This window comes from Homo sapiens, chromosome 1 (genome assembly GCF_000001405.40).
Source record: "Homo sapiens chromosome 1, GRCh38.p14 Primary Assembly".
Classification (NCBI taxonomy): domain Eukaryota; kingdom Metazoa; phylum Chordata; class Mammalia; order Primates; family Hominidae; genus Homo; species Homo sapiens.
Genome location: NC_000001.11, coordinates 205,231,464 through 205,250,454, shown reverse-complemented (window position 1 = coordinate 205,250,454; position 18,991 = coordinate 205,231,464). Strand labels below are relative to the sequence as shown.

Below are 18,991 nucleotides of genomic sequence, written 5' to 3'. Positions count from 1 at the left end.
ATTCTCCTGTCTCAGCCTCCCGAGTAGCTGGGATTACAGACGCCCACCACCACGCCCGGCTAGTTTTTGTATTTTTAGTAGAGACGGGGTTTCCTCATGTTGGCCAGGGTGGTCTCGGACGCCTGACCTCAGGTGATACACCCACCTCGGCCTCCCAAAGTGCTGGGATTACAGGCACGAGCCACCGTGCCCGGCCGATATTTTCAATCTAGAAAGAAAGTCAGTGGGTGTTAGTGGGGAAAAGATGCATAAAGGCTAATTCTGGAGGCCAGTTACCTGGTGGCTGATTCTGTCTGAAAAGTCAAGAGGACGCTGCAGCTTATGATCTCTGGTGTCAGAGCTTTAGGTCAGAAACAGAGTCCTCACTATGGGCCCCTCTCCTAATCAGACAGGACCCCTACAAGGCAAGGGCTTCACCTGAACATGAGGAATTCAAATCAGACTAAAGGAAGAAACTTCTCGGATCTCCAGGCACAAGAGGATATACAGCTGTGCTGGGACCCCAAGGCCTCTGGGTAATAGGGGCTTTGAGTCACTGAGACAGGGAGCAGCAATTCATGGCAAATCACACAGCTGCCCTGCCCTGGCCTGGCGAGCCACTGGCAGCACAGGCACGGCCTTGAAAGGCTCCTCTGAGGCTGCTGGTCTGGCTGCCTCTGGCTCTCCCTCTGCCCAAGGGACCTTTCCATGCAGAGAGGAAGAAAGAAGGGCAGAAGAGATGAGATGGGATGGAGGAGGGGAACAGAGGAGGCAGTTGCCCTCCACCACTCCTGGGTGTGAGGAAGGGCAGGCCGGCAGAGGCTGGCGCATGTACCTGCGTGGTGGTGTGCTCAGAAGGTGGATGCATTCGTGTGAACAGGCAGAGTGGCCCGTCTGGGCCCCTTCAGCCTCCCATGCAACCTGGCCTACAAGTTCAGTTATACCAGGGGCCCCCACGGCCGGCTGGCTGAGCGGTCATGTTTGGAAACCTCTCTCAGCAGAGCCCGCCCCACCCACCTCTGAACCAGCAGACTCCCAGACATAAACAAACCAAGGCCCCTGGGCAGCTGCCAAGATCTGTCTTCTTGGCAAGAGCCAGGGGTTGGGGGGGCCCCTCACTCACCATCCTTCAGAGTAAACAGGGGTGCTTATTTATGCTGGGGCAGAGAAGAAATCTTGTTGGATAAATCTGGTGTGGGAGTGGACGGAGAGCACAGGGCATTCAGAGTCTGCTCTCGCTTAGGTGATGGGCTGAACTCCACTGGTTTCCCTGTCTGGAGCCTGGAGATAACACCATGAGGCCACAGGGAAGCATCCAGTCAGGACGTTGTCATCTCTCCACCCTCCTCACTTCACCTGCAGCACGACTGGGGAGATCTTGGCCCTCTCTTCCTTCCTGCCTGCTCTCAAAGTGGGGCCTGTCATAAGAGTCCTCCTGTCCCCAGCACCTCCACAGAGTCTCCTGAAGCTGTCCAGAAGCCCTCCCAGCTCTGCCCCGTGCTGCTTCTCAGCCACACTGCAGGAGGGGAAGGGGTGAGCAGGACACAGTCAGGGGCTGGCTGGCTGTAAATCCAGCACTCCTGTGCTGCGTCCCCTTCCTGACACTCCATGCACAAGCCCAGGGATCAGCTGGGGAGAGGTTCTGAACAAGGAGAGAAGGGATTGATGCCTAACCAGGCCTGGGAGAGATGAGAGAAGGAGAAATACAACCCTCTGACCCTAGGTTTTCCAGGAACTGCTGTTAAAAAAAAAAAAGAAGAGGGAGAAGAGGGTGGGGACCTCATCTGTTTTCTGAGGAGCCAGGTGGCCCAAGGCCATCTCCACTGGACGTATAACCAGTGGTTCCCTTTCTAGTCCCCGGGGCTTGTGCCTCCCAGAGGTTAAGGCAACACATGGATGGAAAACCTGCATTCTCTAATCACCTGCCAATGCCCAAGTGCACCCACAATTGATGACAACTTTTTCCCCACTTTACAAATCTAAGACATAGAGAGCAGTTACTTTTCTGTGTCGCATACATACTAGAAAGCAGAATGGCGAGGCTGAGATGACGATTTTTTTAAAATGGAGATGGGGTCTCAATCTGTCACCCAGGCTGGAGTGCAGTGGTGCAATCACGCCTGACTGCAGCTTCAACCTCGTGGGCTCAAGTGATCCTCCCACCTCAGCCTCCCAAGCAGCTAGGACTACAGGTGCACGCTACCACACCCGGCTAATTTTTAAATTCTTTTTGTAGAGACAGGGTCTCACCATGTTGCCCAGGCTGGTCTCAAACTCCTAGGCTCAACTGATCCACGCAAATCAGCCTCCCAAAGTGCTAGGATTACAGGCAGGAGCCACCTTGCCCAGCCAAGAATGTTTTGTTTTTGTTTTTGTTTTTAAACAGGGAAGTAATTGAAGGCACAACCTCAAAGACAACTAAGTGGATCTAGCAGGAATAACCAACAGCCAAATTACCATCACCAAGGCTGAGCTGCTTCCCTGGACCGTGAGCCCCTATCTGTCCCCCGTCACACCCTGCTCCCTTTGGGGCTTGAGGTCTCCTACTTTCTTGGGGTGGGGCTGGGGTGAGCCTCTCCAGGACAGCTGAGGAAATTTAGCTGCCTCCAGGGTGTTTCGGTAACTCAACCCCGCCAGGGCTGGACTCAACCCTGCCAGGGCTGCTCTGGTCCGAAAGCCAGCTGGTGAGTTCTAAACAATGGCAGGGGGTGTGGGGGAGTGGGGGAGGCTTATGAATTAAAAATAGATGCTAGTAACCGCCAGGGATCTTGCAGAGAGCATGTGGGGCTGTGTTTACTAGGGAGAGAAGAATACCTCCTATTCATGCCCAGAGATCAGGGCAGAACCACTACTGCTTCTCACACCAGCCCAGGGCCTCTGGGTCTGGGGGAGTCAGCTGACAGAGCAGGGTTTACCGATGGCTGGAAGACCTTTTTCCTCTGTGACAGGGAAGCAACCTTTCTCTCCTCAGGACCCCCAGGGCCACGCCCATTCCTGGAAGGACAGCTCCAGGTCAGGAAATCTATGCAACTGAAGGGGAAATGGCAACCAAGAGATAAAATCATCCCACTCGGGCTGAGGCAAACCTGCTCTCCATAGACTTTGCATAAAATGGTCCCCAGCCGGGTTCAGTGACGTCACCTCTCAGATGAGTCTTGGGTACAGACTAGGATCCCTTGTCTCCCTGCCAAGACCTAGCTGGGTGCCATAGGCAAGCAGTCTCTTTTCCTCTAGGCCTTAGTCTACTCATCTGTAAAATGGAGATAACACCTGCTCTGCCAACTTCACAGGTATGTTATAAAGATCAACCAGGCCATACACCTAACAAAGCTGAGGGTTCTAAAGAAGGATATAAAATAGTCACAAGAACAACCATTTCCCCCATGATCACCCTGAACCCAGGGAACCGTCCCCTCATCAGGTCACCCAAAGTGTCTGGGTCTCGTCTTCCATAAGCAGCAAAAAAAGAGTTCCTCCCTCCCATCTGGATATCTTGGGCACAGTGAGCCACATGGCAGAGCCCCACAGAGAAGCTCCCCAGCTAATGAGCCTGCCCCACTTCCCCCAGGCCCCTGCAAACATCCACAGTCCTTCACCAGCTTCCGACAGTGCCCACTGCCCACCCCAACGTCTTCCCCCTGCTCAGGAGGTCTTCATGGGAGCCCTAGGCAACCAAAGACAGCAAGGTTCACGTTTTCCCTCCTCATAAAATAGCTGCATACCAGAGACTCCTGCTTGACAGGATTTTTCTAATTTGATTTTTAAAATGTATTCATTGACTCACCCATGAGAGGTGGGCCTGGCTGCCTCTACATGCAGAGTGTCTGCTCATTAAGGGCTGAACAACCTGGTTCATTCTGCTGGGCTCCTCCAGCTCTCAATTTCACAAAGCCACGCCACCCTTTTAGCCAACGCGTGCAGAGCTCCTCACTCTGAGAACAGACTTCTCCCCAGTGGAGGCTAGGCTTGCAAATGGTTCAGTCCCATCATTTTAAATACTATCTATATGCTGACAACTCCCAAATTTATGCCTCTAGCTTGGATCTCTCCCCAGAACTCCAGACTCGTACAGCTGACTGCTTATTTGGCATTTCCACGTGGATGTTTAATAGCCACTTCAAACTGAAGGTACCCCAAACCTAGCTCTGATTTCTGCCCCCACCCCCCGCCCCCACCTCACACCCCTTGCCAGGTACTCATTCTATTTGCCATCTTCCTTGACTCAGTTATTGACCATTTCTTCTTTCTGGCTGCCAGGCCGCAAATCTGTGAACCACATTTGACTTCTCTCTTTCTGTCATGCCCACATAGAATCATCAGAAACCTTTGTGGCTTGATCTTTGAAACCAATCCAGAATACAGGTACTCCGCCCCACCCCCAGAGTAGTTCAACAGCTTCTGAACCAGATGCCCTGCTCACGCCCCGTTCACAGCACTTCGGGAGGCTGAGGAAAGCCAGATCACCTGAGGTCAGGAGTTTGAGACCAGCCTGGCCAACATGGTGAAACCCCATCTCTACTAAAAATACAAAAATTAGCCGGGCGAGGTGGTGAGTGCCTGTAATCCCAGCTACTCGGGAGGCTGAGGCAGGAGAATCACTTGAACCCAGGAGGTGGAGGTTGCAGTGAGCCGAGATGGATGACAAAGTAAGACTCTCTCAAAAAAAAAAAAAAAAATTGGGATATCTTCAGCTGGCTTAGCTATCTCACAGGATTGCTTTAATGAATTCATGAAATGATGTCTACAAAAGCACTTTCTACGTTAGAAAAGTGCAAAACCAAACCTGAGCTGCTATACAGTGCCAGGCACACGGCATACACACAAATGCTTGTTGAATGAATGAACATCCAAACATTTTCAAATGTAAACATGCACAAGAACTTGAGAAACAGTCTGTGTTGATGAGAGGACAATTTAAAACTGTACGTGGAGATGGATCTGCTCTGGTGATCATCTAAGGTAAAAACAACTTTATATCTGAGTTTCCCTTGGAACTCTGACGCTGGAAAATCCACGGGGCCTCACATCCCCCAAATGTAGAACTGTTTGGTCTTCCATCATGTCTCCTCTCACTTCCACTTGAACTGTCTTCTCTTTCATCCGCCCTCCCACTGGACCTTCCAGAGTCCTCCTTCCACAACAAACAAGCTGCCTCCTGCCCATAGTCTAGCACTTGGGCCCCTGCAGGCTCTTACTGCAGCTCCACTTGCCCCGGAGCCCTCATTAATCGCAGTGATTTTTTCTTCCTCTTCCTCCCTCATTTTGTGCCCTCTGGAGACGGGACCAGCATTCTACTGTACTCAGTGTTGCTTCAGCCTGGCCTTCGAGGTCCCTGCCATTGCACTCTTCTCCCCCACCCTCCAGTCATCAAAGAGACCTGCTGCCCTCCTTCCTGACCACTGTCCAAGGGGGCATCTCCATGTCATGTGGACAGCCCATCCCACAACCTAGCCTCTCAGCTCTTGCCACTGCAAATTATCTTTCCATTCATTCCTTGTCTGTCATGCTCTATGAGTATACTCTGACCTTTGTCTTCCCTATCCCACCCCCCAAATTGTAAACTCCAATGCCCTCTCCTGTCTCTCTCACTCCTCTTTATTCTTAATGTACCTGCTCCCTCATTCCCTCAGTACCCCCATCTCCTTTTCTCCACATTCATCAGCCTTCTCCTATCCCCACCTCCTTCTCTGCTAGCCGAGGTTTCAAGGTCCAACCTTTTGAGCATTCTCTGACCCAAACAAACCCCCAACTCCTTTGTCACCCTTACATGCCCTCCCAGCAACCCCCAACCCTGGATTAGCCTGATAATCGTTCAGCTCTGTTCCTACCCTCTGGCTAGGACCACTAGAGAGAAAACAAATCGCAACCACTAGGGTGCTGCCAGCACAAATTACCAGCCTCTACAACACCAGACAGGTCACCCGTGAGTTCCTGCTCAGAGCCTTGCTCTGCCCCAAGCCAAAGCTTTACTGCCCTCCTCAAGCCAGCCCTTCCCACCTCCCCTCCTGCTCTCAATAAACACTTGCACCTTTGGTTTCTTCCCCCATAGAAAATAAAAACAAAGTAAGAATTCATTTCTGCCTCCCAGAGGTGACTCTTTGTGACCAAGGACGATGCTGACTTCTGGATCTCACACCCTTTCACCTACTCACTGACCTCACCCCAGTGAGAATTCCCCTTCCTCACTGCTATCTTCGATCTCTGCCTAATAGGGACCTCTCCAGCCAGCATGGAGGTGGGCTCAGGTGCTTCCCAACTTAAAAAAACCAACAAAACCAGACTGCCTCCACCTGATACCCTCCTTCTTCCCAGCCAAGCTACACACCTGCCTTCACTTCCACCCTCTCCTTAATCCACAGAAACTGGCTTCAGGCCATGGTTCCCAATGACAGCCACTGCTTGCTACTGCCTGTGCACATTTCCAAACCCAGATGTGACCTGCCCCTTCTATGCATTTCACTCTGATTACTTCCTCCTCCTTCAAGCTCATTTTCCTTTTGCTTTGCTGCAAGTTTACTTCTATCCATCTGACTGCTCTCTCTCGGGCTCCTGGTGCTTGGCCTGTCACTTACATGTCAGCTGGGTCTGTCCACAGCCTCCTTCTCATTCGACACATCCTCCTTTGAAGATCACACCCACACCCATGATTTCAACCTCAGCGCCAGCTCCCAGAGCACTGGCCCTGGCCCAGGCCCCTACCCCACAGACCCAATTGCCAGCTGGTCCTCCCTAGCTGGACAGCTCCCAAAGGCACTTGCAACTCAACAGGTCCAAAACTGAACTCATCACCTTCCCCCCAAAACATGCTCCTTCTCCTGTGATTCCTCAACTAGAGAATTCCCCCATTTTTAAAGCCACTAAGCCCATAACCTTAGAATCATCCTCTACGCCTCCCTTTCCTTTGCCTCCTATTCACTTTCTCACCTACTACTTCTGACTTTCACTTCCAAATGTTTTCTGCACTTGGCGCCTTCTTTCCATCCCCACTGCTGCAGCCTAGACTACTGCACTAGCTCCAAAGTCTCCTTGACTCCCGTCCTGCACTCCCTTCCCAATCTACTGATTTTTTTTGTTGGTTTTTTCTTTTTTTTTGAGACGAAGTCTCGCTCTGTCTCCCAGGCTGGAGTGCAGTGGCTCGATCTTGGCTCACTACAACCTCCGCCTCCCAGGTTCAAGCAATTCTCCTGCCTCAGCCTCCTGAGGAGCTGGGATTACAGTCGCCCACCACCATGCCTGGCTAATTTTTGTACTTTTAGTAGGGACGGGGTTTCACCATGTAGGCCAGAGTGATCTTGAACTCCTGCCCTCAAGTGATCCACCCACCTCGGCCTCCCAGAGTTCTGGGATTACAGGTGTGAGCCATGTGCCTGGCCCCAATCTACTCTTTATATTGAGACCTAGAGGAACCTCGTCCTGCCAGTTTCCTGCCTAGCACCCTTTGATAGCTTCACACTACTCCCAGAATCAACATGGCAAGGCCTTTTGTGATGTGGCCTCTGCCTACCTGTCAATCCCCAAAAGTGCTAGATGCTCTGGCCATAATGAACCCCCAGTAGCCCCTAGCACCAGCTTGTGTGCTTTTGTACATACTATGCCCTCTCTTCCCCCTTCCCCTCTCCCAGTTCTTCCCTGGCTAAATTATTCAAGATTCAGCTCAATGGTTTCCTCAAACAGGTCTTTGCCAGCTCCTCGCTCTCTCCTCAAGTCCCCTCTCCCTTGAAGCTCCCACAGCAGCTCCCATCTCTCTGTCCATTCACCCACTTGTACCCCCTCTAGAGTGAGCTCCACAAGGACAGCAACACTGGCTTGTTCATTCTTGTAGCACAACATAAGAATTCAATAGATACTTGTTACACGAATAAAAGAACGAATATATAAATTCATGAAGTGCTAAACTAGCTTTTCTCCTTCCCAAATCACCCTTCATGGATCCCCTATCTTCTTTGGTTGGTGCCAATAGTAAAGATGATACTATGCCAGGCTCTATTCCAAGTATTTTACATATATTAACTCATTTAGTCCTACAACTGTACTATTATTATCCTCATTTTCAATTGGTGAAACAAGCACAAAGAGGTTAACTGAGTAAGTGGCAGAACCAGAGTTGCTTCCAGTCTGTGCTTTAAACTACTATACCTATTGCCTCTTGATAGCCCATTTAAGGAAAACAAGTCAACATTAATATCAGCATGAGCAAAACACAATTTTGAAAAACAGCCCTAAGGAAACAAAAATTAGCCATCCTGGGAATCATCTCTTGTTTTTGGCCTAGTCATACCCGACTCCTTTAACCAAGGTAGATAACTCTGCAGACGGTGGGGTGTCAGTATCTGCCAGGGAGGGCCCCTGGCTCAGCTCCCCAGGTCTCAAGGCCCCTCAGCGGATGGCCCTTGCCTCTGAGTCTCCCCCTGCCCCAGAAGGCCCATCTCACCTTGTCCCCGATGCCTTCGGCCTCCTCAGCCAGGAGGTACACGTTGCTGCCGTCGGCCAGCAGCAGAGCAGTGTCGGTGGTGGAGGAAGAGCGGGGACGGCACTGGTGCTGGTGCAGGATGGCGGCCAGGCTGCTGTCCTGGGGGGCCTTGCGCAGCAGGTGAGGGCTGCCACGCTGGGGCTCCAGGGAGCTACTCTTGGTGCGCCGGCTGCTGCTCCCGCTGCTGCCGCCCCCACTGCTGCTGTGCAGGCTGGCGCCCCGCTTGATGGAGGGCCGGGAGCGGATCTGCTGCAGCACGCGGTTGAAGGCGGTGGGCCGGGCGGGCAGGTCGTGCAGGGACATGGCGTAGGAGACGCGATGCATCTCCGGAGAGCGCTCCTTCTCATCTGGGGAGTCATGGTCGGACATACCCTGCTGCTGCTGATGCTGCTGGGAATCCTGAGACGTCTGGTGCTCCCTTTCCCGAGACCGACGGCGGCTGTGGAACAGGTGCTTCAGACCGTGGCCAAACATGGAGCCCTCTGACAGCTGCTGGATTTTCTTAAGGGGGAGAGATGAAGAACCCTGGTGAGTGGAAAGCTCTTGATTGCCTAGTCAGTAGGAGGGTGAAGGTGAAGGGTCTGTCCTTGGTAGACTGGCATAGCTAATGCAGCCATCTGAACCTGGAAGATCTCTGTGGATGGCCCGTCGTGCATAAAGGGTCAGTTTGCGAAAAGGTGGCAACCCAGACCCATCCTTTCATTCCGAAAGAAGTGTGCCCCCACGGTTTTCCACGGGACATTCCTAATCAAAATGAAGGTTCAGAGTTTCTAGGAATGATGCTCTCAGGGCTTCAGTCTGGGGCTTAATGGCATACACAGGTAGCACTTGGCTCATGGGGTTGTATCCCTCTAGATTGATCCCCACCCCCAGTCCTTCCCTCCTTCCAAGTTAGACGACCCTTCAAGCTGTACTAGTTCTTTCAGGCCACCAAGCATCGATTTCCAAAGTTGCCTAATTCCAACATTCCCCCAGTAAAATCAGGGTCATACAATCAAGTTATACTGTTGTAGCAGACACTGCTAATTGCCTACCCAATATCTATTTTTCTTTCTTACCAACCAAACTGCAAGGACTTAACTCACCTTGCTAAAAATTCCTGCTTCATCAGACTCCCCTTGCAGCTAGGAGTAGCCACATGACACAGTTTGGGCCAACGAAAAGCAAGGTGAGAGCTTCTGGGAGCACTTTTGCTTTCCTGATAAAGGCACTGGCCCTTCCCAAATCTTCCCATCTGGAATGGGAACGTAGTGCCTGGAGATGCAGTGGCCATTCTGCAACCACAAGATGACATGGTTGACGATGAGGGTCTGCACACAGATGGTGGAGCCCAAGGGACAGGCCTGGGAACTTGAAGGTCTATGGAGCCACCAAACCAGTTGTGAACATCTATCCTGGGATTCTTGTTGCATGAAATAAACCCATCTTTGTCTACACAACTCTAGTATGATTTTCTGTTATTTGCAACCAATTTCATTCCTGATATGGTTGGCAATGAAATAAACTTTACTTCTATGAGCAAACCTTGTGACATAGTAATGTGACCAATTCTTTAGCATACACATCAGAACAAGCTATCCAAATGAGTGTCTTTCCCCTTAGATCCAAAGCATAGAGGCACTGCAACCCGGTGCCGCCCAGGCCACAGCCTTTCCTCTTAGCCCTGTTGCTGAGATTCTCCAGCTGCTCTTCCGGCAAGACTGCTCACAGAGGGGCAGCTGGATGGCCTGCCAGGGCGAGCAACTGTGGTATAATTCCAGACAGCTGCTTCTGTCAGGGGACGGCTTATCCGGCCAGGTTGAGCCCTCTATGAGAGCTTTGGAGCTGTTGGAAGGAGGGGTGAGACTTGGAGGACCAGGAGACACCTCACATTCTGCAGCTCCTTAGAGGAAAACTCAGGGCCCAGCCATTTGGGACTCAATGAGCCATAGCAGGATTTCCTGTGAGGAACAACCCACAATCTTACCAGGCTGCCTCAGTCATTTAAAAAATGTTCCAAAAAATTACACAGACTGGATTTTCTTTTTTTTTTTCCCTAGAAACAAACTTACAGAGCAGAAAATCTAGACCATATAGAAACCAAGAAAAAGCAACCTGACATCCTCTAAATGAGCTGACCCCACTCTTAGGTTACTTTACAACTCAGCCTTGAGTTTGTGCAGATGGCTGCGCTTACAGCTGGATACAATAACTGTACTATTATGTATTTGTGTAAAATTTTAGGATTTTCATTTTTCACCTCATTTGAGTATCCCCAGAATCCTTAAAGTAGATGAGGCCCTTACATCACCCATTTTACAGACCAGATAAATTACATCATCACAACTCATCACGAACTAACGGTTTTTCATTTCAAAGGAGATTTGTATCCTGCATTATCCCATTGATTCTCCTAAATAGTAACAAAAGCAACAACGGAAACATCTCCATTTAGAGAAGAGGAAATTAAGGCTACCATGATTCCTTCTCAAGAACTGAATTCTGGGGCAGCCCTCGAGATCTTAAGTTACACAATGCCAGCTTTTCCCACAGGAGTTACCATCCCCTGGGGGCCAGCTTGAGGCAGGGTCACAAGGCTCACCTGAATCTGTGCTGGGGAGAACCAAGATGTCAACTCTGCCATGGACTTGGAACAGGCCAGATCCTGCAGCCTTCAGACCAGGGACCTGCCAGGACACCTCCCCCTTCCCCAGGCCCAAGCTGATGTGAGACCTCCCTCCAGACACTGTGATGGGGCCAGCTGGCTCTGGCATTTGCCCAGCTGCCTCTGCCAAATCGTCACATTCCATAATACGAATTGTCTTTCTAGCGTTCTATTCCAGGTCCCTTCCTCTTCTCCCCCCATTCCTAAACTGGCTTCTCCAACACTGAGGATCCACTCAGGCAGAAAGAGTTTCCCTTCTAAAGACTTCAGCAGAGGTCCTAGAGTTCTGAGGCATTTCCTCTCCCCTATCCCCGGGAGGCTGGTGGAGGTGCTGGGGAGAGCTACGGTGGCCACCGATGTCTGCCATATTGCCTTGGAGCCTAAAATCCTTGGTCAATTTACTTTTAAAATTTATACAACAGCATTTTGCAAAGTGCGTTCCGATTTATACTGTCATTATAATCTGACACTAGCCTAATCTCAGGAGCTAGGAATGTGAGATGTCACAGCATCAGTGTCTATTTTGCAGATGAAGAAACGGAGGCACAGCATAGCTAAGTGGCTCATCCAAGCCACACAGAGAAACCCCCGACTTCTAATTGAATTTACCTTCATGGGCCCATACACTGATTTCAAGACTTAAGATTTAAAGTAGATAGGGTATTTGCATGTGTCCCAGAATAGTATCAGAGGCAGGCGCCAAACAAAAATGCCTGGGTCAAGGGTTGTTAGGTCCCCTGAACTGCTGTTGTGACCTGCCCATCCCATGTTATGGGACAAGACCCTCAACTATAAAGTCTTTACTTCCCACCTCCCTGAGCTGTCCTGCAGCTGAAGGAAACCTAGGGAAAGTGACCAGGAGACCCCAGGACCTTTGTCCCAGCAGACCGAGGAATCTATTAAAGTCTGAGGCAGGCAGGAGGGAAATAACAAAAAGGAAGTCAAAGAACAAGGTGCAGAGAGAGGAGATTACTCCAAATGAAGGGGTTTTTCCTCACTGATAAGGTGCGAGGCGGGAACAGCAAAGTGACGCAAGGGCTGGGCCGCTTCTGCATGTGGGTGTCAGGGAGGAGATGGTTAAGGAGTTTTGACATAACACAGTAAGTGTTTTAAAAAAAAAAAACTCAGCACATACACATAACCAGCTACAAGTTTCAGAAGTGAGGAAAACCATGGTGACTAGCTTAAGGGAACTTAGCCGCCAACGCAGCAGAAAGCACCACCTGCTCTGACTAACAGGTTCCAGCTCCTAAAATGTCACTTGCTTTTCCACATTGACTTTTGCTTTTCCCTGGCTGCCAGAAACCATTTTGGTGGCCAAATGAAGCCATGCATTAGAGAGCTGAGATGCTTCAGAGTTAGAGGTGGCAAACAAACAGGGCTTTCATGATCTGTAAGACCGAAGCAAGAAGTGCCGTCCCCAGAACTGGCCATAAGGTAGTCAGAAAGGAGAGCCTCCCAGGGTGAGGTGCCCCGGGGAAGGAAGTGAGGGGAGTTGGCTGTCCCTCCCCTGGAACTATCTGAAAGGGCAGGAAGAGCCCCATCTCCTTGGGTGGCACTGTCCTTTCAGGAAAAAAGGGAGGACTAGATGGCTTCTGAAAGATCCTTCCTGAGAAGGCTGTGGTTTCTGAACAGTTGGGCTTCATCCGTCTTTCTCCCTGGGTGTGGGTCCCCCAAAGGGGAAGTTTGCTCCAAAATCTGCAAACACAGCTGCATGAATACAAAACTAAAATGCCTTGGGGTACAGTGTCATTGGCACCATCTGGTTAAAAATGACCAAAAGTGGTTTCTAATTTTTACAGGTACGTGTGTTCTCAACAAATCCCAGGAAAGCTTAAAGTCACACTAATCTATAGCTAATTATCCCACCTGGCAGCTGACTGCATAGCCCTTCCTCCTACCTGGGTTTGAAACTCCTTCCGCCCTACCAACAGTTTGGCTGTGAGGGTTCAGTGGGGTGACTGGGTCACCCTGAGCCTTTGCCAGCCTAGGTCGCCAACATTCCTCTATTTATAGGGTCTCTATGGAAACAGGGCCAGCATTAGAGAACTAATCACTGTAAAAACCCACAGAGTTCTACTCTTAGGATCCAAAGTGGATTGAAGAAGTCTCCAATTGCCCTTAAGAAGCTCTGGGTGGGGAGCCTGAGTGGGAGCAGGAGAGGAACCATTACCCCAGGTTTGGCGCTGATGATCACAGTGGTGTACAGTAGGCAGCTGCAACTGTTCAGGCCCACTTGGAGTTTCTACTGGAAACCCAGTGATGAAAGATTTTTGGAATCATTTATTTATTCCCCAGCCTCACAGATGAAATTTTAAAAAAAAAACTCAACTCATGGGCACACGGGCAAAAAATTCCCCCATTCTCAATTTTATTTTGATTCCTCTTTCCTTTATTGCTTAGAGAATTCAGCCTGGAGCCAAAGCAAGTGGGAAAAGGTCACCTCATCCACCATGTCTTTAGGCAGAACTGATTCAGCACACACCAACATAGAAGACTTTTATTAAAGTTCCCAGCATGGCGTGCCCTCTCTCTGCCTCTTTGCATCCTACCCATCCTTCACCACCTCGCCACTCCATAAAGCCCTCTCTGATCACACCAGTCTGCAGCGATCTCGCCCTGCTCTGAACACATAAGCGCTCATTATCTGCACCACTCATTTTGCAATTAATCGTGTACTGCCTTGTGACATCGCTTCTAGTGCTTTGTCTGACTGTTATCCAACTTCTCACCTGCTGACGGATGGAACCCTTGATGACAATATGAGTGACTGGACAGCAGGAGCTACAGCTCCTACATCTCTGTGTCCCTAACATTACCTGGCAGAGGCCTCAACACCAACATGGAAGACAGCTAGGTAAATTATTTGTTCATTTATTTTCTGAGCAGCCACTATCCAAGTCTCTACAAATCCATCTTACAAAGGTGATTTTAATCCTTAGATGACTACCTTTTCCAAAGACATAACCTTTCACAAAGATTTCAAATGCTCCAACAGCCTTTTCTTGTGTCTAACTCAGATTTCTCCTGCTGCAGTTTAAACCCTCTTCTCACTCTATTATCTTAGTAACCGCCAAGATTGAGTTGGCTTGGAAGGAGATGAACACAGACCAAGGAGCCAGAATGTATGTGATGTCTTCACAAATGGCTTAGGGAGGGCTTGGGAGGGGGCTCATGTCCTTACAGCCAGATTTGTTTTCCCTGGTGGACATCACTCAGTTAACCTGGCTGGAATAAGGAAGCCTTTAGTCATTTGGTTTAAAAATAACTGTTCTTTTTTTTTTTTTTTTTTTGAGACAGAGTCCTGCTGTGTCGCCTAGGCTGGAGTGTAATGGCGTGATCTCCGTTCACTGCAACCTTTGCCTGCCGGGTTCAAGCAAATCTCCTGCCTCAGCCTCCCGAGCAGCTAGGACTATACGGGCACACCACCATGCCTGGCTAATTTTTTGTATTTTTAGTAGAGACGGGGTTTCACCATGCTGGCCAGGCTGGTCTCGAACTCCTGACCTCGTGACCCCCCTGCCTCGGCCTCCCAAAGTGCTGGGATTACAGGCGTGAGCCACCGCGCCCAGCCAAATAACTGTTTTTCTAGCACAGTCACAAAACATACCTGTTATCCCCCAACAGCTTTGTTCTAACTTCTTACACGAAGAGAGACTTAAGTGTTTGGCTGACAAAGGTGGACCCTGTCCAGCTATGGCCTCATTCCAAAAATGTAGCATGCTAGTAGTCTATGGGGATTTCAAAGGCAGATGCCATTTCTTAAGGGAGAGATGAAAACAGAAATGAGTTCTGAGTTGGCCTTTAAGACCACCACTGAGAAGCTGCCTGAGCCCTTTTCCCCAGCTCCTGATAACCCCACACTTTGAAAACTTCAGCCCAAAATTTAGGTCCTATCAGATATTTCAACTCCTTGCTGAAGGAGATTCTTGTTAATGGGATTGGCAGTGAAGACATAATTAGATACACAAAAAGAAGCACATTCTGTAAATACTGAGCCTGCCAGACAGTTCCCACTAGAACAACTAGGGCAGCTGGGAATTAATCTAGAACTCAATATGTGGCAGGAGAACAGGGAGTTTCGTTTGCCACATGCTTTCCCATCGGTCACCAGTTCCCCCAGAGCCCACATAGAGGGCTGCTCTGAATATTACCTAGGCTGGAGGGGGTGGGGGGGAGGCAATCCTGGGCCTTCCAACCCTCTGCCTGCTTCATATAAGGTGCAAGCGGGACAAAACAGTTAACTTCAGCATTTGCACTACCCTCCATTGTTCCTGATCATTCTAGTCAAACAGGGCAAAGACCCTACAAAAGCACTTGCTACCTCACTTCCCCCATTTAGAAAGCCCCTCTTCTCTTGTTTGGTAATAAATGTCCCACCCCTTCTTTAAAATCTTGCTCTAGGCCGTGCGCAGTGGCTCACGCTTATAATCCCAGCACTTTGGGAGGCCGAGGAGAGTGGATCACCTGAGGTCAGGAGTTTCAGACCAGCCTGGCAAACATGATGAAACCCCATCTCTACTCAAAATAGAAAATTAGCCCGGTCTGGTGGTGCATGCCTATAGTCCCAGCTACTCGGGAGGTTGAGACAGGAGAACCGCTTGAACCCGGGAGGCAGAAGCTGCAGTGAGCCAAGATTGCGCCACTGCACTCCAGCCTGAGACAGAATGAGATTCCATCTCAAAAAAAAAAATCTTGCTCTAAACCCACCTCTTGCAGAACAACTTTCCTGATTAACCCCCATAAGTTTCTGATTGCACTGCATGATGCTCTAAGTACCCTTTAACTTCTATGTATTTCCATGATGGTTTTCTTAGAAGTATTTCATCCTATTTGACCTGGAGATCAGCTGGAGGTGAGGCCAAATAACTAATTTCCCATTTCCTTTTTGTTTGTTTGTTTTGTTTTTTATTTTTGAGACAGAGTCTCGCTCTGTCGCCCAGGCTGGAGTGCAGTGGCACGATCTCGGCTCACTGCAACCTCCGCCTCCCAGGTTCAAGCAATTCTCCTGCCTCAGCCTCCAGAGTAGCTGGGACTACAGGTGCCCGCCACCATGCCTGGCTAATTTTTCTGTATTTTTGGTAGAGATGGGGTTTCACTGTGTTAGCCAGGATGGTCTTGATCTCCTGACCTCATGATCCACCCATCTCGGCCTCCCAAAGTGCTAGGATTACAGGTGTGAGCCACCACGCCTGGCCTCCCATGTCCTTGTTTTTAGGTATACTTCAATTCTACCTCCTCTGATAAAACTTATCCCAGGCGTCCGGCTCCCACCTGAGATTGCAGGAATCTTCAAGCCTTAACATATCTACTGGGCCTCAAGATGCAGCAGGCCCTCAGAGAGCCATCGCAACCATCACAACACTCCTGGAGAGCCCCAGGGAACGTACATATCTTCATTCCACCTACGTTCTTATGAAGTAGCTTGTCTTCTCCTTCATTTAAAAAATGAAGAAACTCTCCACTCTCACTGCTTCATTTGACTACCCTTTAAAAAAAAAAGGAGAAACTGAGACCTATAAATTTTATCAAAACCCTGAGCCTTGAAAAAATATATATATAAGAAATAAACAAATAGAAAACAAGCAGGTGCTTCTCGGGAATGTCAGTTTTTTTTTTTCCTTGACTTGGGTAGATGAGGTGTCTGCTTTGCTTCTGTTATTTAAACTGCGTACATGTTTTCAGGCACTTTTATAAGCATGTTTCACAATTTAATTCAGCAGCACCTTTCCTGCTGAAGGTGGTATCTGCTGACTGCATGAACCCTTCTCTAGTGGGCTCTCTGCAGGAGTGGTGAAGGAACACACGCCACTCACAGTGGGAGGAAGCTGCCTGTGACCACCAGGAAAGGCGGAGAGCCAGCAGGGAGAACCACACAGGACTCAGTTGTGACTTTCTCTCAGATATCTGGCTTCGAATTATCTTTCCTGCTCTTCACTAAGTAGGCAGGAAGACCAGTGTATGGTGTGACTGGAACATGAACTGGAACCCAAATGAGTCTTGAGTCAAAAGTGCTTCAAACCAGGAGGGGAATGATGGAATTTGGAGCTCCCCCTTTTTCTTCAGGGAAATATATTAATACTGCTCAGAAATCTCCAGGGAAATTACTTAAAGGGGCTTTTGTGAGAGGAAAGAGAACCTTAGGGGAAGTCCAGGGGGAAAGCCCATGGCCAGCATCCCCAGACACCTCCTTTCAGGAAAGACTCAATTCTTCCCACTGTGAGAGAGGTGGGGAGGTTGGTAATTTCCTCCCGTGCCTTCAGACTTCCATCACATATCAGGATAGAACCAGCTCACTCTTATGCTTGGCCACTCATCCTGGGCCTCAGAAGTATCTACCACACGTTGTGGTTTTTTTTTTTTTTTTCGGTTGTTGTTTTTTGTGTGTGTGTTTTTTTGTGTTTTTTTTTTTTTTTTTTTTTTTTTTGAGATAGGGTCTTGCTCTGTAGCCCAGGCTGGAGTGCAATGGCATGATCATGGCTCACTGCAGCTTCAACCTCCTGGGCTCAGGCGATCCTCCCACCTCAGTCTCCCAAGTAGCTGGGACTACAGGTGTGTGCCACTGCACTTGGCTAATTTTTGTATTTTTAGTAGAGACAGGATTTTACCATGTTGGCCAGGATGGTCTCAAACTCCTGGCCTCAAGTGATCCACCAACCTCGGCCTACCAAAGTGCTGGGATTACTGGCATGAGCCACCCACCGCTCCCGGCCCGTATGCTGTATTCTTAGCAGGAATGTGTGCTCCCTGTCTGCAGTATTCCCCTAAGCCCCACCTCTCCTCCCATATGCAATGGAACTGGGTTTTCTTGCTGTAGAATTGTGGTGTACTTTTGGTCAGCCAGCACTCTCTGTGGCTTAGCAACCCCAGCATCTCCTCCCAACAAGCAGGGAATCTGTTAGCAGCAAAAGGCTGGGCAATAAGGACAAATGAATCGAAACATGAACTCGAGTGTTTCAACAGGAATCCAAGCTGCAAGTGGCTGAAGAATGGGACTGAATTGTTGTGCTCCTGTTGCAGGATGTCTACTGAGATTTTCCCCGAAGGTCCCACAGGTGTGTGGAACAGTTGAGAAGGCCCTCAATGTATCTGCATGAGCCTCCTGTGAGGCAATGTCCATTTTTAGGTTATTTTTCAATTACAGTTTTAAAATTGCTGCTTAACTACTACTTTTCACTGGCCCTTCCCACCCTATAATCACAGATCCCAGGGCACTGTAGCAGAAATTTACAGTGTACAGTAAGATGGTCCACAGTGCTGAAGGAACAGAGGGAGACCATAGGAGCCCATGAAACCACTAACTGTCACTAAACACCATTCAGATTTCTTTGGCAAAGATAAAAATTCTCTCCTCTTCCAATACCGCCCCAACCTCTACGGAGGTGCTTTACACAGAGTCCTTTATTATTATTATTATTATTTTTGCCCCTTTCTCAAGATGATTTCTTCCAATGCACTTAATTCATCACAGTGCCTGGAGCTGTCATGAGAAAACAGAAATGGAACTAAGATACCAAAAGTTCTCATCTCCAAAGTTTAAAATGAAAACAAAAGCAAACCAGAACTGCTTATCTGCCTTGACCAAACACAGGTATGAGGTAGGGGAGCATTAAAAATTAAACACCCTTCTGTGGTACCACCATCAAATCTAAAACAAGTCAACTTCTACCCAGTTCCAGAGTCAATAATGGAATTTTTCTATCATTGGAAAACTGTGCCAGCATTGGAAAACAATTTTTCCAGCACTGGAAAGCAAGTTTGGAGGGGCTGGGCACGGTGGCTCACACCTGTAATCCCAGCTTTTTGGGAGAATGAGGCAGGAGTTTCGCTTGAGTCCAGGAGTTCAAGACCAGCCTAGGCAATATAGCAAGACCCTGTCTCTACAAAAAATTTAAAAA

General features: G+C 49.2%; 1 protein-coding gene and 1 long non-coding RNA gene across 8 annotated transcripts in view; one reads left to right on the top strand and one right to left on the bottom strand.

Moving 5' to 3' along the window:
• The window catches only part of TMCC2 (transmembrane and coiled-coil domain family 2), a 45,398-nt gene that overhangs the window by 22,889 nt on the left and 3,518 nt on the right, over nt 1-18,991 (bottom strand). For 4 of the 7 annotated variants that reach the window (XM_005245686.4, NM_014858.4, NM_001242925.2 and 1 more), the window contains exon 2: nt 8,411-8,950. In XM_005245686.4, coding sequence (XP_005245743.1) covers nt 8,411-8,950 — 540 coding nt within the window. Of the gene's footprint in view, nt 1-3,763; nt 3,960-8,410; nt 8,951-9,534; nt 9,724-18,991 lie in introns of those variants that run through there. The other 3 variants (XM_047436073.1, NM_001375652.1, NM_001297611.2) reach the window with 2 other exon arrangements.
• On the top strand, nt 13,164-16,678 carry TMCC2-AS1 (TMCC2 antisense RNA 1). The gene is made up of 3 exons (NR_183258.1): nt 13,164-13,271; nt 13,497-13,950; nt 16,312-16,678. It is a non-coding gene; the product is annotated as a TMCC2 antisense RNA 1 (long non-coding RNA).